This window comes from Homo sapiens, chromosome X (assembly GCF_000001405.40).
Source record: "Homo sapiens chromosome X, GRCh38.p14 Primary Assembly".
NCBI classification, from domain to species: domain Eukaryota; kingdom Metazoa; phylum Chordata; class Mammalia; order Primates; family Hominidae; genus Homo; species Homo sapiens.
Genome location: NC_000023.11, coordinates 17,669,260 through 17,694,936, shown reverse-complemented (window position 1 = coordinate 17,694,936; position 25,677 = coordinate 17,669,260). Strand labels below are relative to the sequence as shown.

The 25,677-nt window shown below is 43.2% G+C and overlaps 1 protein-coding gene across 5 annotated transcripts in view, besides 1 other annotated feature; it reads right to left on the bottom strand.

Moving 5' to 3' along the window:
- Positions 1-25,677, bottom strand: part of NHS (NHS actin remodeling regulator) — a 360,795-nt gene that overhangs the window by 41,058 nt on the left and 294,060 nt on the right. For all 5 annotated transcript variants that reach the window (NM_001291867.2, NM_198270.4, NM_001136024.4 and 2 more), the window contains exons 2-3: positions 7,043-7,195; positions 2,469-2,602 (exon numbers count right to left, since the gene is read on the bottom strand). In NM_001291867.2, the coding sequence (NP_001278796.1) occupies positions 2,469-2,602; positions 7,043-7,195 (287 nt within the window). The remainder of the gene's footprint in view (positions 1-2,468; positions 2,603-7,042; positions 7,196-25,677) is intronic.
- Positions 4,562-4,621: a silencer, noted in NCBI's record as "silent region_20684". NCBI's record gives its function as "represses an Ori minimal core promoter by ATAC-STARR-seq in GM12878 lymphoblastoid cells {active_cell/tissue: GM12878}" and the evidence as "EXISTENCE:reporter gene assay evidence [ECO:0000049][PMID:35858748]".

Genomic DNA, 25,677 nt, shown 5'->3' with positions numbered 1-25,677 from the left:
ATTTTACAGATAAAGAGACTGGGAGTCAGAAAGATACAATAGCTTTTTCCAAGTCACACATCCAAAAAGTTGTAGTGCTGGGATTTAAACACGGTTGGACCTATGATCTTATCACCATATTATAGATACTTCAGGGAATTGATTGGCTAATAATAATAATAACATCTGATGTTTATGTAGTGCTTATGTATGAGGTACTGTTTACATGTATTACCACGTTCAATTCTCATGCCAAGGCTATGAGGTACTATCTACTTCTATCCCCAAGACACTGAAATGACTAACTTGCCAGGGTCATACAGCTCGCAAGTGGTAGAGCTGGTATTCAAAGTCAGGCAGTTTAGCTTCATGGTCCATGCCATTAATGACCAAGGTACAGTACAATAGCCTGCAGAGTTGCAGAAGACTGTATGTCAATCTCATTATGAATGCTTTCTTAAAGGAAGAAAAGCATGCCTTCACCAAATCTCAAACATGAAAGGAGAGTTGTCTAAGAAAATGTGTCTATCCAGCAATTTGACTACAAATTTCCTGTCTCTATACCTGCAGCCATTTGTCTTTCAGCAATATACAGTCTTGTGAGCTTGAACTATGTTCTATCCAGGCCTAAGGGATATAACTCAAATGAAAATCTTCTAATCCTTGTAGTGACCCAAACTCTTGAACAAATAAAACAGTTAAAATTACTTAGAAATACTAAGTATTATCATTTGGGATGGACAAACTTACTGAAGTTTACCTAAGTGTAATCCATAGTCTTCTCTTATTGATGTTTGTTGGGTAAGTAAATGATGTACTCTCGTTGCTATTCGTCATTTTAAGCCTTTTCCTATAGTCTTACTTTAGTATTTAGACATTATTAAAAATTATGCAGATCATGAGAAAGGGTTATATTTTTATGTAATTTCTGTAAATGCTCAAAATTCTTCTCTTTCACCTCCCCCTTCCAAGAAAACCAACTTAATTAGCCATAAAACATGTTATAATGAATGGGAAAATATTTTAGCATTTTTATGCAGAAAATGCCTCATTAAAAGCAAATGCCTCAGCAAGCAGATTTGAGCTGCTTAAGAACTTCTGCTTTATGACAAATCACTAGCATGTGAAACTGCTCTATCTGAAGAACTAGAAAGCCCTAAGAGGCCCTTGTCTCCTTTTCTTATCCTTGGGCTGCAGTGCAGCAATGTAGTAAGTGCAACACGGCGCTCAGTGTGCACTTGATGAGCACTGAAGGACCTGCCTGCAGTCCAGCTACAAATAGGAAAAATGTTTTTATATTTTGTCCATTATCACTCAAGGTCTTATCTGGATGTTATATCATGTGGGTTCATTTAGATAAAGTCTGTTTTTGGCTGGATATTTGGCACCATGTGACCCAAATATTTTGCATCTCTCTTGCATATTGTAAAAGCCGTAAGAGTGCACAATTTAGAGTCATACACGCAATTTTAATTTCTAATAAAAACCTTAACTCGTACCCACACTATTGTAACTTCTTTAGACTTTGGGTCTTGAACCAGAATGACAAGACAGCAGGAATGCAGACATTCAGACAGGCAGTGTGGGCTGATTTGGTCACAAAAGCCATAGTCCCTCACTTCAATGATGCCTGCTCAGAGGCACAAAGTGCTCAGTTGTCCCCACTGAGGCCCCAGAAGGCACATCTGCGGTGATGTGTTTGTAGTGGCTGCTGATAGTATTTGCAGGTGTTTTGAGATGGGCTCAGCTTCATCATCTGTGACCCATGCTTGAGGGCTTGGGCTGAGTTACAGCCACATCCATCTGGTCAGGGCTGAAAGCCCCAGAGGCGATGACGTCACCATGGTATTAAGTTACCCTGGAGAACTAGCCTCCTTTGGAGAATGGGAAAGCATGAAATGATGACATGATTACTCTTCAAATGGTAATTTTTCGTATCACTTAAGTTCTTTACCAGTTCACCCCACCAAGTCAGCCATGCTGTCACTTTACCAGTAATAACAGTAGTGGCAGCTGTGGTTAACATTTCTTGAGGTCTTACTCTGTATCAGTCAGTCATTGGGCTAAGCACTTTACATGCCTTATCTCATTTAATCCTCTAGCCCTATAAACCAGGTACTATTAATATCCCTATATTACAGATGAGGGAACTGAGGGCAAAGAACATAAGTAACCTATCCTGAATCCTTCAGCTTGCAAGCAGAAGAACCGAGGTTTGAAGTATGTATTTTTTTTCCTGATTTTAGTCTGTAATTATTCTTGCTTTACTGCATTGTGCTACCAGTTAACTAAAAAATATGTCTGTATTCCAAAAAAGAGGCGTTTCTTTCAGGAATGAAAGGAAGGGAAATTAATTTGTTCCCAAATGCCCATGATTTGAGCTCTTAGCCAGCCCAGCCTCTCTCACTGGGAGGCAGGAAACTGACTCCCAGACAAACTGATGTTTCCTCAGCAGCAAGCATAGGGCTGCAGGTGGCCACCAAACTTACCGTTAAAAAGTGACGGTCCTTAAACTCACGCCTCCTCTGGCTGTGAGCTGGAGGGTAGGCTGGCAGTGGAGGAGCTGCAATGGAAAGGGGGGCAGCTGCTCTTTGCTCTCGGCGATCGCTCCGGCTCCGGTGTTCTGAGAAGGAGAAAAAGCAGTAATACTGAAATACACTTGGCATTTTCAATTTCTCTTTTCCCCTTGGGAGTGTTAGCAAAAGGCTGTAAAAAAAAAAAAAAGTGAGTTTTCATTACTTTAGCTAATTTGAATACCAAATAAGATTTTCAGAATGGTTTTTAATTGAACTTTCACTTACTATTAATATGAAATTGGATGCATACATTTCAGTGGATCCATCTCATAATCTGTACAAGAGGGCTCACTTCTGAGTTCAGTGTGACTTATTTCAAAACAACATAAGCAACAACAACAACAACAACAAAAGTTGAGAACATAGTGGAAGATTTGCTGCCATCAGTACTGGAGTGGAAAGTAGGCACAGACAAAACAGAGCTGCCCGGCCCACCCACTGGGTACGGGAGCTGGCTGTCACTGGCTCAGGGGAGCTGATTGCTACATATTCAGGAATTTGTGTGAGTCCATTTTTCAACTGTTGGTACCTGGAAATAACTCATGTTGGGAGTATTTACATCACATGTTTGCTGAGTGACTGAGAGTGAATTTATGCTTTCATTAAAGTCTAGTCTTTTAAAATTAGAATGTATTACATTTCTCTGTATTTCGAATGGGCTGTGGTGGGTGCCTTTACTGCCATGCGCTTTTCTAGGTCCTGTTACTTGTTTCTGACAGGCCTGCCCAATGCTGGCTCCATTTTCTTTGCCCCATTCAATGTGCTGCCCCCTAAACTAGGAACTGAGCACTCTTGAACTTTCTGATTCTATCCATGTCTGACTTGGCTGTCCGTGTGCCTCGCTGCCTGAACGTAGTGTCTGTGTCTAGAAGATGTGATAGTATTCCCCATCTCCCTTTGCTTGGGATTCTTCTGACAAATGTTGGCTCCCATAAGCAATCAGAGCAAAGTCTTCAAAACCATGTAGGTAGTCTTTGCTAAACTGCCTCCAAAGTCAATGTTTATCCGAAGGCTGTTTAAGATAAATGTCTTCCTTGTTAAAGTGCCCACCTCCAATGCCACCATCATTATGCAAGCAAACAGTGGGCTTTTCTAAATGGGTAACACAAGGAAAAGTGTTTACATTCTTAAATCCGTACAGAAGAGTCACTTACAGGTGTTACTGGTTAGGAAGAAGTGAAAGGAGGGGAGTAGTTGGAAGGGAGACATCAACTCAATTTTCCATTCAATCGCTCCCCTCCTACACAATCTTAAACATATATCTTTCTTTGCTCTAGGCTGGGAGTAGGCAGGCTAGATTAATGGCTCCCTAATAATACCTTTTTCTGGTGCTGAGGTAGGGAGAACATTAGTCCACTACAGCCTGAAACTGCAGTGGAATCTTGCTCCTTATTCCCTTAGACCAATGAAACTTATGCTGCAGCCTCCAACTTGAAAGGAAAGGAAATATAAAATATAATTATCTATTTATAGTTGCTTATGAATCTCTCTCTCCATGATTTATGAACATAAATGATAGCATCACATAAAGCCATTACTGGCTCTGAGCATTAAAGAATTACTAAGGGGGAAAAAAAGTAATCAGAGCCTAAATAACTTGAAATACATGTAGATGCTACATCCTCCACAAAACCCTCCCTGAAGCTCTATGAAATGACTTGGTACATTTCTTCTTAGCCTCCCTATCACTGTATTGAAATTACCTGGTTACTTGTCTGTCTCTCCACTAGACCAGGGATTCCTTGTGGGCAGCATACGTTATTGCTTTTTGACTCTTAGGTTCTACAACACTCCCTTGCCTTCAATAAAATTTGTTGGGGGGTTTGCTATCAAGCAGATCTTGAAGGCAGCCAATTTCTAGGTTTTAATCTTGGTCCTCCAGCTCTCTCCTTACAGTCTCACCTCCAAAAGAAGCACAGAGCTGCTGTCACCACAGCCTCATTTGTCTGTGTTTCATTATCCACTCCCTCATGGTGGAAGCAAGGCTATTCCAGCTGTCCAAATAGAGAACCTACAGGGATGCTCACTGCAGCATTTGCTGAGCATGGCAGTTGTCTGATAGGTCAGTATTATTCATGGCCACCAGATGGCAGAAGCAGATTATGCTGATGAATACAGCAGTATGCTATTGTGTTTCTTGGACAAGGTTAAAAAAAAAGTCACTTTCTAATTTTAATTCTACACTGCATGTTTTTAATTCCATGATGGCTATAATTCTTGTTTATGGCTCTCTGCAGTGCTATTAAAACTACTACACCCAAGATATGCTATTGAGCCAACCGCAAAACAAGCCAGTCTGTGGAGGGTAAAACGCATCTCCACAGTCTTCCTTCCAAACCCCAGGAGGCCCCACATCCCTCTCTCACCGCCCCACAGGAGGAAGTTCAGAGAAAATTGATATCGGCACTTGCTGTTCTTCAGTTCTGCTTTAAGTCTAAACCTGACAAAGCAGTGAAATGTGATAGTTTACGAGCAGCTTGGTGTTATCTGGTGGAATCCATAAAATCCTAATCAGGGATGACTTATTAATAAAATAAAGGGATAAAAATAATTATACCTAAAGGGCTAATGTTACCCAAGATTTCTAATGATGGGACCTGAGAAAGGATTTGGTGAGAACGATCAGATTCCTTTATAGTCATCCTGTGCCCTCAATGTTCAACCAGTTTTTTGCAAAACTTGATTCAGTTCCACAAATGTTCATTGAGGACCTACTATATGTCAGCTTCATGCTAAGTGCTTTGAATAAAATAAATTAATAAGATATCATCCTTGCCCTTGAGTTGCTCATAGATTAATGGCTTATTAGTGGTTGGTTGGTAAAACAGGCCCATAGTGGTTGATTATAAGATTCTAAGTGGCAGGATGGGAGGATGCACAGGATATTATGGGAAGGGTGCCTAATCCAGGCTGCAAAGGAATGGCAAGTGTGGAAAGAAAGATTTTCAGAAGGTGGCTTAAGTTAAAAAAGAACTTCTTAGCCAACTATAAAATTGAAGTGAATGGTAAGTATGCCAAAGATGCTTCTACAGGATACTGATCATCACTCTTCATTGTAAGTGTCACAATGTCTTCCCCTAATAACCAAGGAAAATTTTTAGAAACAATTGCTTTAGGGATATTAGGAGGTTAGCTCTTTCATTAAAAGGAAAAAAAGATGAGGAAGGGAAAAAAGATGAGGAGGGAAAAAAGATGATAATTGAAGGCAACAAACTATTGAAGATAAGGATGGGGAAAAGGCAGGAGTTATACAAATGTGGAATAAATAAGATGAAAACAATATCACCATTTTGTTTCTCCACTTTGATAATGACATTAAAATATTTTACTTGCATTTTAATACTTTTGCAAAATGCCATTTCTTAAAAGAGTGTAGGGAATTTGGAAGAAAGACATTGAATGTGTAGACACCATCTATCTCCATAGCAAGAATCTAAAGGCCAAAAAAAGCTGACATGTCCCCTTCTGATACCCAATTTAGGGGGCTCTAAAACAATGAAGCTACTTTTTATTCCCCTTGTCCTAATTAGAATGGTTTTAAGGCACTGAAAAGCAACCAGTGTAAGAAAAAACTGTATTCCTATTTTGACTGCTATGAGCCTATCTCTAGCTTTCTCAGGACTGTGAGAGACATGTAAACATCAGTACCTATTTCCATGAGACACAGTGTATGGCAAGGAGGAAAAGAGCTCTGGCAGGCATTTCAGAGGCTTAGGTTGGGTCCTGGTACCACACCTAACCTGCTATGTGTGACCCTGAGCAAGTTTCCTCACCTTTCTAGGCCTCCGCGTGTCCCACTAAAGAATGGGGGCATTAGACCGATCACTGGTTCTCAAGAGAAGCAGAAGAGCCCTCTAGGGGATCATTCTAATTGTTACAATGATTGGATGGGAGCCAAAGATGACAGCCATCCCATAATGCAGAGGATGGTCAATGAAAATGTGTCCCAGGTCTCACACAATTTTAAATGTTCCATCAGAATCTCTTATAGGGGAAAAACCTAGTGCCTATTTATGAGTCAAGCCAAATTCCCTTTTCATTCTAATCCAAAGTATTTATTTTTTGCCCATATCTAATATATACTGAATGTACCAGTTTTTATGGTCATGCCCTCCTGCCCCTCGGAATAGTTTCTGAAGGTCTGTACTTAATCCAGACTTGCTTTTGACAAGTGCAGACATCTGACTGCTTCATGATGTCTTCTAGTGAGGTCATGCCTGAGCATTTGCATATTGAAATAGATATTATTATCAATAATTTCCTTTTAATTTCTCTTTATTATCATATTTAGACCATAATATTATTTTTTCTTATGTGTATGGGTTGGGCATATTACCCATGGATTTCATTTCAGGGTAGAAACGGGAGCATTTCAAAGTACTTGCTATAATAAGGGGGTGTGTTGGGGCTGATGGGACAGAGGACACCTGGATGGGACAACCTCCGAGTTGTCTCCCGCAAAAGCCCCCAAGCCCAGGATCTGTCACCTCTGCGCAGGGCTTGCAGGCTCTGCCGGGCGTGGCGGTGCAGCTCCTCCACGCAGGGTGGCCTTGTGGCTGGGAGGAAGATGTTGCGCTGCTGGTGCCACGGGGCGCGGTAGTACACACTCAGCTTACTCTCTATGTCCAGGTTGGAGACGGCTGCAAGACAAGAAACAGGGCGTTGTCCATCAGTGGCTTTAAGTTGTGCTTTTGGCCAACCCTGGGGTGGGGAAGAGGACAGGAGTAAAGTCTGGGTGGAGTGGAAGTCCAGACTACTGCATTCACATTAAGAACTAACTCAAGGCCGGAGAAAGGTTTGGCATTTATGATACTGATAGGGACAACTTTTGCCCCTGAGCCGAGGCACGGGAGGCTCCAAGACACCAACCGTCTACCTATGACTAGCTAATTTCCTCTCCGTACCTTCATTCCTCACCCTTGGCACAGTCGCTCATCAACACTGACAAGCCCCTGGCTAGCCTGCTTGGGGGTGGAGATGGGGGTCCTGTTTCTGAAAAATGTGGAGGAAAGCCTCAGAGATGAATGGAAAGGCTGCCTCAGCTCCAGCCTTCTGGCCGCAGGGCCTCAGAGCTGTAGTTCTGCACGCCGCCCCTGCTGTCCACCTGAACTTCGGCCTATACCTTGCCCTGCCTCTGTCCCTTGTGGTCCCGTCCCCAAGGTATCCTTATCATGCCCTACACCTACCGGCTCCATTGCCTGTCATCTTTCAAAGCATTGCTCTTCCTTGGTTTCACCCAGGGGTGAGCATACGCATTAAAGAAACCATCATAGAGGTAATGAGTATTAAGGGAGGGAAACTGCAGATGCAAGATGAGTTTTTGCAACTCATCCAAGAGATCAAGGAAGGAAGGCTTCCTTCCCCCAAACACAGCATTTAACTCACTCTCATCTTCTTCATGTACACAGGGATCCTAGGATGGAACTCTCCATGAGTTAAACAGAAATTCTGCTGGAAGCAGATGTTAGGAACCAGGAGGATTTTTACTAAGAAATGGCTGCAAAGAGGACCTCACAAGCACCTGGGTAGCCTGTCAGCCTCGGGAATGGCATGAACTGGCCCAGTCTGCTTTACCCTCCAGACACACTATCCAGATCCAGACTCCTGTCCTGGGCCCACCCTGCTCCCCCCACCTCCCAGTCTCATCTCTTTCCACTCTGGTTCAGTAATGGGGGATTGACTGAGAAATCAGGCTCTCCCTGCATGCAAAAGTCAACTCCTACCCAATGGGGCAGAGGTCGTTACCAAACCCAACAGAGAGGACCATGAATTCATGTGCTCATGACAGCTGGGAGAAGGGACAGAACAGAAAGCATGTCTGTGGAAAGAATGGGCAAGAAGCCAGGTGGGCAGTCCTAGAAGTAGAGGGGCTTCTGAGCACCCCTTCCCTTAGGCTCGTCTTTTCAGGAAGGTGGGAGCCAGGATACAGGGCTGGGCCAAGGTGACTAAGAGGTAGACCAGAAGACTCTTCTAGTCCCTCATTCCCTCAGCACTGCTGACCAGAGGCTTAGGGTGGTAACTTTTGACAGCCCCTCAGAAACCAGGTCAAGTGGCCATGGCTCTTTAATTCTTGTGTGGGGAAAACCTGAGCCCCTCCTATTTATCTTAATGTTCATCTGAAGAAAAGGCTCATCAGAAGTGCTTGTCAAAAACACAGATTCCTGGGCATCAACCTAGACTTTGAATCAGAATTTCCAAAAGAAAGGCCTGGTAATCTATATTACATGAAAAGTTATTTTTATCATCAGGCAGGTTTGAGAAACACAAAATGTCTTCTGATGATGCCTTGGGATCTTGTAGGAGTGAAAGGAGTTGGGCAACATGAGGGAAGGGAAGACGCTGCTGAAAATGGAAACATCCATCCACCCATGGAACATTCCCAAGTAGCTCTTAGTCTCAGGCATGGTGCTAGGTGTTGGAACACAGCACAGAACAAAACACACAGGAATCCCGACCCTCATAAAGCATTTGTTCTCTGGCTTTGTGCAAAATGGTTTAACTGTGATTCTGCCTGGATGAAATAGTTTGGGAGCAATGACACTGGAAGACTTTTCCTATTTTGGTATTATACAGTTCCCTAGGGATGGTCTCAGGCATCAAGACTCTAGAGGCCTTGAACGCCAAAAAGGTTATAGTCCTCACTCCTCCACGTCCACCTTTCTGCAGCAGGTGATCCCAAATTTCAGAATCAATTGGCATATCATAAAATTAGTGTAAAGATGTTCAGCAAATTCTCTTCCCTCATTATTAAATATTAAATATCAAGTTACCTGAAAAAAAAAGCATTTTTTGGTGCCCATGCTTTGCTGATACCCTAAACACATTTCTACTGTGCTTGTTGGGCAAGCCAGTGCTGAGTTCCTGGGCTGCTAAACTCTGCCTGCTGCTTGGGACTGTGAATTCACAGATACAAAGAGTAATGCATGAGTTCCAGCATGGGCAGCCTAGTCATGGCTCCTGGGAAGAACCAACCCTCACAATGACAACCTGCAGGGCCAGGGATCATCACCTTTTTCTTTCCAAAATCTTTTTCTTTCTCCATTGAGAAGCTATATCGGATTTCTGCCACACATTAGCAGGTGAACATTTCACTCATCAGTTGCCACCATCCTGTCTATCTCTTAGACAGGGAAAGGAGGAAAACTCTTTAATGCCTTTGCTCTCAGTGACGTCATTTGGTCACAGAGCATTAACTAGTATTACGTGTCCACTAGAGGCAGGCAGACAGCCACTAATGGAGCTCTTCCAGGGAAAACTGTCCCCCTTTTCCTTCTTTAAAAAATCTATTCCTTTTCCTAAGTAACAGTTCAACCACAGTTGAATCCATTCATTCGTGAGCTGCTCCACTGCCATTGTAAGGCTGCCCTGCATCTTCGGGTTCACCATGCTCCCTTTTCCTCCCTTTTTAACAATCTCACCATGGCTAAGTTATGCAAGATAGCAGGCTTAGTGCCCTAGGAATGTTTGTTCTCATAAAAATGGAACAAAGCAAAGCAAGAAGGTTTTTCCTCTGTTTATTTGCATACGTCCAGGGGCCACTGTGTGATAGGCAGAATTTTAGGATGATTCCCAAGATTCCTGCCTTCTTGTGCACATACCCTGTATAATCCCCTTCCCTTGAGTGTGGGAAGAACCTGTGACTTAGTTACATTACAAGTCGAAAAGGGTTTTACGGTCTGTACTCAATCGACTTGAGTTAATCAAAAGAGAGAGTATAATCCTGAGTTAATACTTAAAAGAGACAAAAAGCAACAGAGATGCTCTCCTATTGGCCTTGAAGAAGCAAACTGTCGTGTTGTGGAGAGGGACATGTGGCAGGGAATGGCAGGTGGCCTCTAGGAGCTGAGGGCCTCACTCCTACAACTTCAAGAAACTGAATTCTGCCATCAACCAATGAACTTGAAAGAGAACTCTGGGCCTAAGATGAGATGAGATGAGATGGGATGAGCCCAGCTGACACCTTGATTTCAGCCCAGTTAACCCTGAGCAGAGGACCCAGTCAACTCATACCCAGACTCCTGACCCATGGAAATTGAAAGATAATAAATAGGTGTTGTTTTAAGGTGCTAAGTTTGCAATGATTTGCTATGCAATAATAGAAATAATAATAGAAAACTAATTGTATTAGTCTGTCCATTCTCATGCTGCTAATAAAGACATACCCATGACTGGGTAATTTATAAAGGAAAGAGGTTTAATGGGCTCACAGTTCCACATGGTTGGGGAGGCCTCACAATCATGGCAGAAGGCAAAAGAGGAGCAAAGTCACGTCTTATATGGTGGCAGGCAAAGAGAGCATATGCAGGGGAACTCCCCTTTATAAAACCATCAGATCTCACGAGATTTATTCACTACCACAAGAACAACATTGGAAAAACCAGCCCCCATGATTCAATTGCCTCCCACTAGGTCCCTCCCATGACACTGGGAATTATGGGAGGTGCAATTCAAGATGAGATTTGGGTGGGGACATAGCCAAACCATATCACTAATGCACACTCCCACTACTTTATCTACTTCTCTAGAGTCAGTCACTTGCTTTGTCTTGTCAATTCCTCCCCTCTGTTACTGCTCCCCAAGAAAGGGGAAGATAATGACAAGGGTTACAACAGGAAATAAGGCTCTATGTGTCATTTTTATCCTCCACAACAGGAAAAAGGTTTTTTGGATGTATCATTTCCCTCATCTAAGACTACAAGCTCTTGTGGGAAGCTCCAACCATATGCCAAGTTCTAAGCCAGGTGCATTATATTAATAATATCATGGTACCCGCACACAACTCAAAGAGGAAAATATTGCCCCTATTTTATAGATAAGGAAATGGGAACTCAGAGAAAGTAAGTAAATTTGCTAAGTCATCCACCTGGTAAGTAGAAGACCTGGGATCAGAAACCATCTCTGTTTGGCTTCTAAGCTGCCACTCTTTCCCAAACCAATATTGAAATAAGTTTCCCTAAGCTAAGGGTGATGGGGTAGGGGAGTGAGAATGGGCCATCTGCCACATAAAAAGGATCTAGTGCTTTTCAAAATAAAGAACAAAGATTCAGAACTGCTACTCTCTGTATCATCCATAGCATCAGGTATAACCAAGAACTGAGTGACTCTTCCAGAAAGTGCCTAGCAGGAGGTTGGGAAGATGTGTTCTATTATATCAGAAAGACAACACCACAAACAGATAACCACAAAAGCAAACTGCTGAAAGAAAATGCCATCGCAGGAAATGTCCACAGGGCAATGAAAAGTCTTTATAGACTGATCTTAGTTCATTCCCCTGTCAAACACTGGAGATAATGGAATTGTCAAGATCTTGATTCATAGTAATGTATTGGAAGGATGGATATGGTCACTGGGGTCCTCTGAAATGAGCTAACTTAGACATTAAGGAAAACTAGTGGCTGCCACTCTCTTGGAAAGACTAGGCCCGTTTCTAAGAGCAGGAGGAAGCTTGGTTTTATGAACGACTGGGAAGGGGTAAAAATCAGGGGCAAACTTAGTCTTGCCCCAGCCTCTCTAACCCCATCTCCCCTGCCCTGTTAGGGGTGCTACTCATTTGATTCTCTCTTTCCTAGCCTTGTGAGCATCCCATTGCCTTACAGCTTTATGCCCCCGGGAGCAGTGCAAAATGCTTATTCTTGGCCTCCCTTCCTAGAAAGCCTCCTTACCTCACATCCCCACCCCACACTGGCTTTCTCCCCTGCTACTCCTTCTTCCTTAAGAAGGGGGAGGTGACAGCTGAGATCAAAGTTTGACTGCTACATGTGGTGAAATTTTCAGAAAAATGCACAAAATGACTCAGAAATGGAATTTGTACCCCTTCAAGGGAGGGAAGAAAAATTTTTAAACGTTCTCAGAGTGCCTGCAGACACATTTACCCACCCACATCTTGCTAATCTTCTTCCTGCCCTTCTACCACCACAGCCACCCCCAACACATAGCTTTGTGGGCAGGAACACATCCCTCCACAAACCATCCGTTCTGGTGCCCCATGACAGGGAGGAGTGTGTTGGCATATCAATCAATTAATAAGCACCTGAAATTGTCAGTGTCACAGATACATAGCCAGTTTGTTCTCCAGGTCCCTGCTATGCTGAAGCCAATCCTCAGGAGCCATCAGCTTGGTAGGCAAAATGGGAAATTTCCCTAAGGTGTCTGTTGCTGCTGCCTGAGTGCTCAGATCTATTGGGAGGATGGGAAGGGGATTTCACCAAGTGAACCCATTTATTCCTGCCTGCCCTTTCTTCCTCGGTAACCATCCCCTTGCCCACTCTGCTTGGCAGTTTGGAGGAAGGAACAGGGTAAAGTACAAGGAGAGCAAGGACCACCAAGGCTCCTGTCACCTGCAGAGCAGCCCAAAGCCAGAGCCAGTTTCCCAGAGTCTTTCCTTGCTGGGCTTCCTGTTCTGTAGAACCATAATAATTCAGATTTGTTCCCCACTATGGATGAGGTGTCTCATGTTCACCTCTCAGCATCAGAAAGATCTAGGTCTCTTAACAAATTCCAGCATCTTGAAACATTCCAACACTTACAGAACAGGAGAACATATCTGTGTGTTTATTTGTACGCTAAAAGGATCTAGAACAATTTTTCCCCTAGAAATAGTTTTCCCAGCTTCTAAAACAAAACGATGCTTCATACCAGGAAGACTGTTTAATTATTGCTGTTACCATGGTTGTTTTAATGTCCAACATCCTGTGGAAAGACCAGTAGAAGCCTGGGTTCTAGTTGCAGTTCTGACACCATGTGACATTGTGCAAGTCGTTGAACCTTTCCTGGATTCAAGTTCCCCATCTTTACAAAGGAGGGGTTTGAACTTTTTGATCTCTGAGTGATGTGCTGCCCTGTCCTGTCCTGCCCTCCATTTGATGCCAGTCACCAAAATCCACCCAGACTCTGTAGTTAAGCTATGGCAGGATGGGCTGGTGGAAAGAGCTTGGGCTCTTGGATGGAAAGATGGATCACAGCATCAGTGTGATCCAGAGCAAGTCTTCTATGAAAGGGGAATCACAGAGCCTTCATGCAGTGGTTCAGGCTCCAATTAAGTAACAACATCCTTGGCATGTGTCACTGCTTAATAAATATTAGTTCCCTTTCCTGGGCTGAAAACAAAAGAAGATTGGGAGGCCAGGATCAGGGTCCAAATTCACAAGAGGAAAGTCTGGAGCTCTCCAAGGTTCTTTTTGCTTTATTTTGCCTGTCTTCTTGTTGAGTGAAGTATAAACAAAGATGAGGCTACTAAAGATCACTCTTTGAGGGTCTCATTTCTGGAAACTGGAAAGAAGACTGCCCACAACTGGGGAGCCTGTGACCTCTCTGACAGGTTCAATGTCCCCAAGTCTCTGCCATCTATTGACTTGGACAGCATTTAGTGTAATGACTCAGCGATCCTAACTCTCTGAGCCAGTGGCAGAGTTGCAGTCCTAGACATTCTTCTTAGCAGCAGTTTGTAATTTACTTGTTTATCTTCAGGTCATTCTGCTGCCATGTTCTATACCAGACACCTCCTCCAGAATGTAAGCACATAGTCATCTGTCACAGCTCAGCTATTGTTTTAAGAAAATTCCTTTAGGCATCTAGCAGAGTCATTGGATTCTACTAATGGAAGGGACCTCAGAAATTTGGACTTCTGTATTTTTTTTTTCAAGCTGCAAGAGCATGGCACATTAGTGGATTGTGAAATCCATTTAGCAGGTCAAGACTAGCATTTTAAAACTGCACGTTCTGCACGTGTACCCCAGAACTTAAAGTATAATTAAAAAACAAACAAACAGAAACAATGAAATAAAATAGAGCAGACTGGAAAATACCCAAGAGCACTGCATGCAGTGTTGTTTTGTGAAGCTATCACTTGTGTCACACATGTGCATGTGCACACACGTGTGTGTTTGTGTGTGTGTATGCTGGGTTGTGATGTAAAAATGTGTTTCTTACTCTGAATAGCAGTCAAAACACTGTGAAAGCCACTGTTTAGGCCACTCCTTTCATGTGCTGATGAGAAAACTGAGATTAAAATATTTGACCCTAGATCACAGAGCTGATTTTTGGCAGAGGCAAAAACCAAAGCCAATGTCTTCTGAGCCCAGGCCCATGCACTTCCCTCAGCAGCCTCTTCCTCCCATGGGGATAATCAGCCTAGCTTCTGCACCCTTCATATCTCTCAGTCATTATTTTCTACCTTTCACATTTATCAGGTTGTCTTTAGGAGGGGAAAAAAAACACTTCTCACCTGTGGATAGTACACATTCCATCCATTTTTATTTTAAAATTCCAGGTGCACTTCAGCTCAGAGAGCAGTTGTTGAGATGAACCAGCCACAGAAGCCAGGGTTTGCCTTGTGTTTATTTACAGAAGGACACACCCGCCAAGAGCTGCTCTGAGGAGACTATGGCTGCAAGAGAGGGCCCTGCCCATTTACCAGTAACAACTATAAGCCACTTTGAGACTTAGAGTATACATATCATCAGGGAAAGATGACATTGATGGAAAACCTTTGCTACAGCAGTGGAAACGCACACCCCCCCCCCCTTTCTTCATTCTGGTTAAAGATAGATAGCTGGGTATTCAGTGTACTCAGGTATTCAGTATATGAAATATCTGAACTCCTTTCCTTCCCTGTGTTCTGTCTCTTTTGCATTCTGAGTTTTCCAGAGCAAATAACTCATAAGAGGATTGGATCAGGGAAAAAGGAGAGCCCAACTTGGTTACCTTGGTTGGCTTGTATACCTAGAATGCCTGCACTGTTTGCCATCTATCTACCCTCCAAGCCTCATCTTCAACAAAAGCCTTCTACTTCCCACTCCCAAGCTGCTGGGCCACTCACTGTTTCCCACCTCTCATTTGCACTCCTCACAGACTATCTTAGATTGCCATACACATCTGCAGCCACATCCTTATGCCTCTGACAAGAGGAGCCACAGCTTATACTTCTTGAGATCCCTGACAATGCCAGGCATTGTCCCATGTAAATTCTTGAAGGAAATGTGTTTGATTGCTTTTGTTACTTGTTAATGACTCCCTGTATACTTTGGCAGGGAAATGAAATTGGCACAAATAGCTCAAGTGGGGTTTTGCACCAACTATGGGTTTCATTTATCCACAGGATTGCAATAGAAGACATTTAGATTCAATACAAAGAAGAAATTCTCATTCACAGGGGTCTAGAGAGGGGATGGATGGCATTATCAAAAGAGGTTAGAGAGAAGGGGTAGAGAGGGGAATGTGGTAAAACAAAGAAAAATTGCAGGGGTGGGGAAAGTGAGTGGGGGAGGGCACAACCTTAGAGAGATAGTACACATTCTAGGGCCTGATGATATTTTAGAAGAGTCTCTGATTTATAGAAAGCACTGACTCAGGTGCAGTACAAACTTGGTTTTTCAGCAGGAAAAATGTATTAGATAAAGTTGACATGTCCAGCAGCTCTGGGAGTCTGGGCCTTCATTCAAACCCACTCACTTGTATTGAGCAGCTACTTTTGCAAAGTTCTGGGCTAGGAACTAGGGGACACACAGATGGCTAAGACAGGATCCCTGTCACTCCAAGTGCTTATGAGGTAGTATTCATTTATTCTTTATTTCTTTCAAGCATTTATTAAATGTCTATTATGTAGTAGTGAAAGGGCTACAAAGATTAAAATACAGCTCTCTCTCTCTCTCTTTGATATGGTTTGGATGTGTGTCCCTACCCAAATCTCATGTTGAAATGCAATCCCCAGTGTTGGAGGTGGGGCCTGGTGGGAGGTGATTGGATCACAGGGGTGGTTTCTCATGGTTTATCACCACCCCCATTGCTGCTGCCGTCGCAATAGTGAGTTCTCATGAGATCTGGTTCTTTAAAAGTGTGTGGCACCTCTCCCCAACCCCTCTCAGTCCAGCTCCTGCCATGTAAGAAGCCTGCTTCCGCTTTGCTTTCCACTAGGAGTAAAAGCTCCCTGAGGCCTCCCCAGGAACAGATGCTGCCACGCTTCCTGTACGGCCTGCAGAACCATGAGCCAATTAAACCTCTTCTCTTTATAAATTACCCAGTCTCAGGTATTTCTTTATAGCAGTGTGAGAACAGACTAATTCTCTGTCTCTCTCTCTCTCTCTCTCTCTCACACACACACACACACACACACCCACAGTCATTCAAAAAAGTCTAAAAGAACAACAAAAAGCCACTCTTAATCCTGTCACCAAAGGCCACTGTTAGCATGCTAGCATGTTTCCAAGCAATTTTTTCAAGTACGTTTCTAAATAGTTGAGATATAGCATATATACTCTATTGTATACTGCTTTTTAAAAATAAAAGAATTTGGCCAAACGCAGTGGCCAAGGCAGGCAGATCACTTGAACCCAGGAGTTCAAGACCAGCTTGGGCAACACAGCAGAACCCCATCTCTACAAACAACAACAACAACAACAACAACAAAACCTCAAAAATTAGCTTGGTGTGGTGGCATGCGCCTGTAATCCCAGGTACTCTGAGGCGGGAGGATCTCTTGAGCCTGGGAGGTGGAGGCTGCAGTGAGCTGAGATTGTGCTACTGCATTCTAGCTTGGGTGGCAGGGTGAGACCCTGTCTCAAAAATAAAACGAAATGAAAGAATTTTCCTTTGTGAATCAACCTCAATACTTATTAACAGCTGTATAATGTTCTACCAGGTGGGTGCACTGTAGTTTATTTACCCATTCTCCCAGCATTGGATTTGGATTAGCTCCCAGTTATAACACAGACCGCAAGGAGCATCTCTCTTTAAAAACCCCTGTCGAGGCCACATTCTCCATGTGATTGTGAGTATGCTATGGGCCAGACTGGAGATTTTGCTCTCCTTAGCATGAACTGGGCTGTCCTTTCCTTGGCCAGTTTGAACAGAGGCTATCAAGACACAGCTAACCCCAGAGTCCAGCTCCCTAATCAAAGGATGGGGAGCAGACTGGCATCTTAGATGTACACATGGCCTAGTGTTTGATATATATATATATCAGCAAGGTACATCCTTTTAAAAACACCAGACACTAAGGTGGCAGTCGCTTGGCAAAGCTAGAAATTGTACTGTTTAAGCTACCATTCCACAGAGCACACAATAGGCAGAGGATTCATAATTGTTCTTGTCAAAATGTACCATCCTGCCTCAACAATGCTGATGGAAATATTTGTTCTTAACCAGGAACCATCATTGTATGTGAGGCTGTATGGATACAAACCACACCATTGGGGAACTAAGAAGGCTGCCCTCAAAGGCAGACTTAAATATTAACATAATAGATTAAAATGGAGCTTCCCAAACTCCAGTATGCATAGGAATCACCTGGAGACTTTGTTAAAACAGATTCTACTGCCAGAAATCTTGATGCTGTAGGTCTCGGATGGGATCTGAGAATCTGCATTTCTAACAAGTCCCAGGGGGATGCTGATGTTGCCAGTCAGTGGACCACAGAGGCCAGGTAACAAGGTAGGTATTAGATTGAAGCATATTAAATTGGTGATATTCAACCATCTTGACCTTAAAAAACTATCTCAATAGTTCAATCTAATAATTAGTTCAACTCCAAGGTTAGCTTTACCAGAAGGGCCACTGTGCTCTTAGATAGCAGTAAAGTGCTTGCTTTTCAGCAACCTGTACTGAAAATGACCAGCCCATCACCAAGTCATGAAACATTTGTGCCAGTTTTCAAGGCTTCCACGCCTGAGCTTAAACCAGGGTAGGAGAAATGGGGGCTTGACCCAATCCTTACTTCATCAGCCCCACACCCCCTGAAGAGACACTGTCAGTGTTGCAAGTTTGCAAACAAGTAAAAGTATAGAAAGATAATACTGATCGGAAATAAGGAATTTGCTCTTTCAGGAGAGCGAAACAAATAGTTATGGGTTTAACAAGGGTTAAAAATAAAACTCCTTGGTGAATGACACAAATCTGTTTCCATTATTTGAGATGAACCAGGTGAGGCTGATTACAGGGAAGACCGTGAGTATCATCCTTTAGTACTCATAGTTTCTTGAGAGCAGGCTCTCTCCATGGGAAAAATAGAGAAGAAAGGAGGCAATGCACCCATGAAGATGAGTATGACATGTTAAAATCGCTTCACTCCTGTTCAAACTAAGATGAGGTATCATAAACATGGGTGCCTCTGACATCCCAGGAAAGAAAATGGAGCTGGAGTGGGACAGGCAGGTCAGAAAAAGCATGTGAAAATCGCCATTTTATTCAAGAACCACTGCACTCAGCCACTGGATATAAGAAAAAAAGGGTTCTATTTTCCAATATGGCGCATGGAGCCTCTTCTGTCCTCTTGGACAGATGCCCTTGGCTTGGTTAGATTGTGAAGCAGTAAGGTAATTAGCACATGACATCCAATTATATATGCTAATAAATCCCTTCTCCTAGGTGGAGGTTAGTCTCTTAAAATCTACTTAGAGAGCATAAGTGATGATGGAAAATTTTAAAATACTTACAAAAGGCCCCACATACCACCTCCACTACACTTACTTAGAATCACTACTTGCTAATTAGTATCTTTGCAGGTAGCAGAGAAGTGATGCTCTTTATTGGGCCAACAAAGAAGATATAAATACATGAGCCTGCAAGCCAAAAGACATTCTTTTCCAAGGACATTTCCATCCCAAAAGCCTAGGTATTTGTAATGAGTTATGTGCTCTCTATAATAGACATAGCTAGATGAGTGGCAAATACTTAACCCATAATGGATTCATTCTGGTGTCAGAAGAGATGGGTTCTCTTGTGAGACTCAATTAGCTTGAGTCTAGCTGAGTGTGCAGTGGTGTCAAGGGAGGTGTCCTACGTTCATCTTGCACATTTGCTGCCTCAGACCTAGAATCAGCCCTTTCTTGAAGAAGCCCTGACTCCTCTCAGAGGAAACAGACTTTAGAGACCACATTCTGCATGGTAGGGGTATTCATCGTTGCTAGGTTGTCATTGGTTCTAGACTTCTTCAGTAGACAGGACTAGAAAATATGTAAGTTTCAGAAGGTGAAAATAAATCATGAGTTTAAAACATTATTGCCAATTCAAATCTAAGATTACAGATTTTAATTTAACTTCCTTGATTTTATAATTGATCTATTTTCTCTTGTGCTGAAAATCTTGATTCCTAATGGCATAATTACTTATTTGAATAGTTGCAAAATGACTACAATAAGACAACTTAATTCAGTTTTAGATTTCTTTTTGTTTTTCATTTGTCATTAGGATATTTTCTACTAGCAATGTACAGTAAAGGGTACTTTGTTTGGAAGTCACATGAAATGACTGAAGGTGTTGAGTGCAATGATTGCTAAGGTCCTGTGTATTCCTTTGGGTACATAAAATGAGAAAACTATGAAAGGCTCCTGGCCATCCCATTCAGGTGGATCTAGTTAATAAATAACTAAAATTCATGTAAAGTTCCTGCATTTTAAGTTTCCAGTTTATTTGAGAAAAACATAAAGCCTTCCTTCCCTTCACATTCATCTGCTCCACATGTTGCAGTATTTCGAAAACTAGGAGCTCCTCCCCTTCCTTCCTTGACTCGTGAACTCTGCCACTGGCCCTTGCAGGAGCTGGCCTTGCTTTGTTGAGTAACAGCACAGAGAAGCCCACACAGTGATGAGGAGAGCCTTTGATCTCCAGAAGACTTGAAAACTCAAGTCTGGAGGTCTTGGCATTTATCCCAGAGATCAAACACATATGTTGGCACCTGCAGGGAAAAGGGAAATATGAACTAGCCCTTTTTGAATCCAGAGCCTATGATGGAAACTCCACAAGCAATGACAGAATCTACTAAAGGCCACAGGCCCATCAGAAGCTATGAGTAGCCTCCATGGGGATCTCTCTACCAAGGAGTTGGTGAGTAGACCACACACAGGGATCAGACAGCTTCACCCCTGAGTGATTGTGCCTGAGTCCAAATACTAAAAACTAGGTTGAACCCTATGAAATTGACATTTTTGTAGGTCAAAATAGTTGAATATTGGCAATTTCATGTGGTTCAACGTTACAACTCTTAAGTAAGCAAATGAAGAGCCAAAAACTCAATAATCGCTCAAGCCAGATAAATGACACCCTATTTCCCCCTCCCAAGTTCAAGGCATTTTGTGCTTCTCTTCTCCGGTTGGTTTGAGGCAGACAGAGATGAGGGGAGAAGAGAGAGCAAAGTTATAACAGGCAACTGATTCTAGAGGGTCGCATTGGAGAATAAGTGCCTTGGGCCCCGGTGCTGGCTGGCATGGTGCGGAGGATCATCAGCAAAGCTTGACCCCAATCCCTCCGAGTGTACTGGAGGCCCCAGCTAATCACACTTGGGTCTGGGAAAGGAAACATGTCACCTCTTATTATGTCCAAGGGACTGTGCAGAGGTGCTTTAAAGAGAAAGGAACACCGTCAGTGCCGTCAAGCAGTTTATAACCTGGTAGCCATATTAGACAAATTAGGTGATAATCCAAGGTAGGATCAAGTGGGCTGCCACACAAGTTCAAAAGACATGCTCTCTGGTTAGGGAAGGGGTGCAGGGAAGAGGTAACATTGAAGTAGGAGGAGGGTTAAGGGCTGGATAGGATCAGCAAATGCTGGGAGAGATCAGCATATGCTAAAGCGTTAGGTTAAACCATTTGGAATTTCCCTTTTGAGGCAAAAATTTTTTAATATTAGCAATTTCCTGTGATCCAACCTAATATGAAGGTTAGAATGAGTCTGTTGATATAGGTCCCAGGAGTAGTTCACTGTGGCTTGGCCAGGAGTCATGTGAATCAGAGAGGCGCAGGTAGGGAGCTGCTTAGGAAGAAGATGAAGATGACTTAGTGAGCATGTCCATGAACCACACAGCAGGTTAGGCCCTCAATATAGCTAATCTTATTTGGTTCCCATGATAAACCCAGGATGAACATTTCATTATCTCCAACTTACTGTATAGGCACAGAAAGGTTAAGTTGCTTGCTCGAGGGCCATAGAGGCAGGACTGGAAGCACATACATCTGATTCCAAGGCCCAAGATCTTTCTGCCCCACATCACTTCCCCACAAAGGAGCAGATATTGGTGTGGGGAGACCATGTTCACCCCAGAAAGGAAGACTGAAGTGGTTCAGTGGAGGGCCTTGGTGGCCGGGATGTGGAGCTGAAGCCTAACCCTCTTATGTAAAGGGAAGTGTCTTAGTCCCTGGCTCAGACGAGCTTTCTTGTGTGTGTGTGTGTGTGTGTGTGTGTGTGTGTGTGTGTGTGTGTGTGTGTGTGTGTGTGTTTCATCTTCCAGCTAAGCAATGGTCTAGAACACTGACCTGTGTGTAATAGGTGCTCAAACGTGAGTTGAATGGATCTGGCTCAATTCCATAAATGGTTCAATCTGTATATCTTGTGGTCCTTTTTGTCTCCTTTTAATCTGTCCTTTCTTTACTTGATCTCTCCTCCCAGACAAATTCTACTCAATACCAAGCTCGAGTTGCACCTCCTTTGTGAAGCCATCCAAGACCTCCCAAGGCCCAGTTGGTTCATTCATTCATTGATCAATGAGTTATTAAGGACTTCCCATGTGCCAACCACTGTGCTAGGCACTGCAATAGAATGGTGGACATGACATGCGCCATTGTCCTTGTCCTTATGGAACTTACTTCCAGGTAGGACAAAAGCCAGTAAGTAAATTGATTAATAAGGAAGAATGTCATTGGTAGTGATAAGCACTCTGATGAACTAAAACAGGGAGATGTGAAAGAGAGTAAGAATAGTGGGAGGTGCGGCATTGAGGAAATGACAATGGCGACCTACTGACCAGGAAGGCCTGAGATTCTCAAGTGTAGGCATCAGAGACACCAAGGAGAGGGAGTGAGGGTCCCTGTCCACATGGAGCTGAAAGCTAGTGGAATGACCTCTTCCTGTAGCTCAGAGTGGCCATCTGGCTTCACTGGTCACCAAAGCCGTTTCCTCTTCTTTCTGGGCACAAAGCTAAACTATATTTCCCAGCCTTCCTTGCAGTTGGGTGTGCCATATGGTGAGGTCCACCTGGTAGAATGTGAGCAGAAGTGACACACACCACTTCCAGCCTGGCCCATTGAAACCTCCCACACATCCCCTTTCATGTTCTTGATGAAGATGAGTACAGAGACCTTAGAAGTCATCTACTGAAGACAGTAGATTCCTAAGATGGAAGGAATCTGCATCCTTCAATTCCAGCTAGGAGAAGAGCTACCCACCAATGAGGCAAAACCCATTTTGGACACTATGCAAGTGAGGAATAAACCTGAATTTTATTAAGCCACTGAGATGTTGGGGTTTGTTACAGCAGCTAATGGTACACTAATTCAATGAACTCGCTATATCATTGCTATGAGTACTCATTTGGTCCCTATTTAGCCTAGGACATGGCTTCTATTGTATCATTGTTTGATTATGTGCTTTTCTTTAGTTTTTCCTTCCTGTATGTCCCATCCCTCTCAACTCAGATGGCAAGAGTGCAGTTAGAGGCTCGCCCTTCCAGTGCTTTGGTATCTTACCAGCTCTTACCAGAAGTGGGCTTCTGCTTTCACTGCTCTATCATGTCAATGGATGCTTTTATGTCCCTTTAAGTCATTGGAACTTTTAGGTAAGGGGAAGACCAATGTTTTCATCTTTTCCTCTTTTAGTTTGCTGAGAAGACATGATTTCTAGACTACTATTATACAAATGTAATCCTATCACAGCCCCTCCCTAAATGGTGATCAGTTCTGAATCGGGGACCTGGGTTAACAAGACAGGACCACCCATACACTGTTTTAATTGCTTGTTTCCCTGTCAAACTAGATGCTTTTTCAGGGCAAGGAGTATTTATTCTCTATATTTCAGCATCAAGCACAGTGTTGGACACATAGTAGGTACTGCATAAATGCTTCCTCTATGAACTAATAAGGTTGTCTAATGTTGTTAAATACACCAGTGTGCTACAGAAATAATCTGCCAAAGTTTTTGTTCTTCAGAAAACATTGCTAAAGCCACCCCCTCAATTTACAGTCAGTATTAACAAAAGCTTTTCCTTGAAAGCCTGATGCATAGGAGTCAGGCTGAATTAGGAGTTGCTTTGGGGCATCCACAGAAATGAAGATTGTGCAGGAGGGTACACTAAATGGGGCTCTGCTTTTCTGCTGCAGCTCTGCTGAGTGCTGGCTTTTTTTCTCCCCTCTTTTGCTTTTTCTTCTCTAACTCAACCTTCAAATTAGCTCTTGGAATCTGCAGGTGGAGTAACTCTTTGTTCTAACACACCCCTTGCCAAGACTTGCCAGTGAAAGCTGCAAGCACCTGGTTGGCCCAAAGGGTGAGTTTGATTTCTCTTCAGGGAGGATCCTCAGGCAGTGCATTAGGAACTGGGAGTGCCTGTGGCCCAGCCCATGCTCAGATGCCTTCCCAGCACCCTCTCAGGAAGTCACCCAACCCAACACCACCTCTGGCCTTCGGGCACCCTTCAGCCCCAGAGAGTGACTTTCGTTGCAGAGTTCACTCACTCAGAGACATCCAGGCCAGACCAACTTGGCCAAAGATCATGATCAGAAAAGGAACGGGCTACTCCATAACCTCAAAGAGTAAGGAAGTACTTTTTTGTGTGTTATTTTTTTAAGCCCTCAAACCCATGCAGCAATTGGAATAGAGGTGAAATTGCAGATGACACCAACCTGCAAACCGAATGGAATGAGTCAGTGTCATCAGACTAAAGGTCTGTTTTGAACCCAAGCAATGGCCCAAACCACATGTAGGGTCACACTGACTGTTCTAACAATGGATCTTCAACTCCAGACACAAGCATTTTTGACAGAATTTGACATTGCAAAAACAGCTGGCTAATCTGGTCATTCCAGTAACAAATGAGAACCATTAATTATTTCATTACACTTACACAACCCATAAACCAGTCCTCTAACTGGATGTTTCCCAAAAGTTGCCAGTGAATTCAATTAAATGTGCGGATTCAGTCCTGTGTAGACATAGCACAGACCCCTGTTAGTGGGTGGTTATGAGGCTTCTTCTGTCAGTTCTGTGAGGAATTAAATATCAGGGCAAGAATGTTTACATGAAAAGATAAAGGTATTGAAGAGAAGGCAATTGGAACCTAAACACAACTTGGGAATCTCATTTTATTTAAGAATGAGCTTTGGCCACTCTTCTGACTTTTTGTAACTTGCTTTTAAAAGCTGTCAAACCAATAGGTTTGGTGAATACAACATTTATTTGCCTTTTATCCACCCACAGAAAAGTCTGTTCTTTCCAGAACAAAAGCCACTGGGGACAAGTGGCACACAGAGATGCCCAGATTCCCATCCCTTTCACCATTGTGTCAGCTTCCCATTGTGTACTTCTGAGTCTTCTTTCAATAGTAGCTATGGGCTCAAGTCCATTCTAGAAATGCCAGTGTCCTTTGTGATGGGGTTTTCTGCGAAGCCACAGAGAGCAGGATCTACTGGGGCTGCCCAGGCAAGCTGCCTTTTCAGCAACAACATACTGCAGAAGTTTCTTCTTCCTGGGGTGAATTCAAGCCAGGGGCCTGGAGCAGAGCATTCAGGGCCTGAACTATGGGACTAACAGGCCTTTACAGTAACAAGTGAGGATTTGGGGCTTTGGGGTGGGTTGTGTTTACTTGAATAGGTCCCCAAAAGCTCATCTCAAAGTTAATAAAATCCCAGTTGAATATTCCATTTTTAGTGAGGACTCCAAGGTTGTTAGGCCCTTCCTTTGCCACCTGCTTCCCTGAACCGCACTTTCTCCATCACTCTCTCTCCCTACTTCCTTCCTTTGTCCCGTTCACATTTCTTTCCCTGTTGTCCTTGGCCTGAGCCCTCTAGTGGATCAAGACTAGGGTGCCCTCTTTTGGATATATTAAATTTCCCAGCCTGCAAAGAAACTCTTGTTGTTGTTGTTGTTTCCATTTGGTATATAGGTCAAAAAATAATAGCTGTTATGGCCATGGCAAAGATGAAATCTTTAAGTCCCCAGAAACATCAGACCAGGAAACTGGAATAACGTTCTTATCCATTCATATTGAAGACCCTACTATGGCCCTCATTGTCCAATGCTTACGTTCGTTCCTGCAACTGATTTCTGCCCTGCTTCTCTCACTCTTTCATGTGCTGAGGATAATATTGATGTCAACGAGTTTCAGTCTTTCTCTGAATAGTCATTCACTCAACAAATAATTACCAAA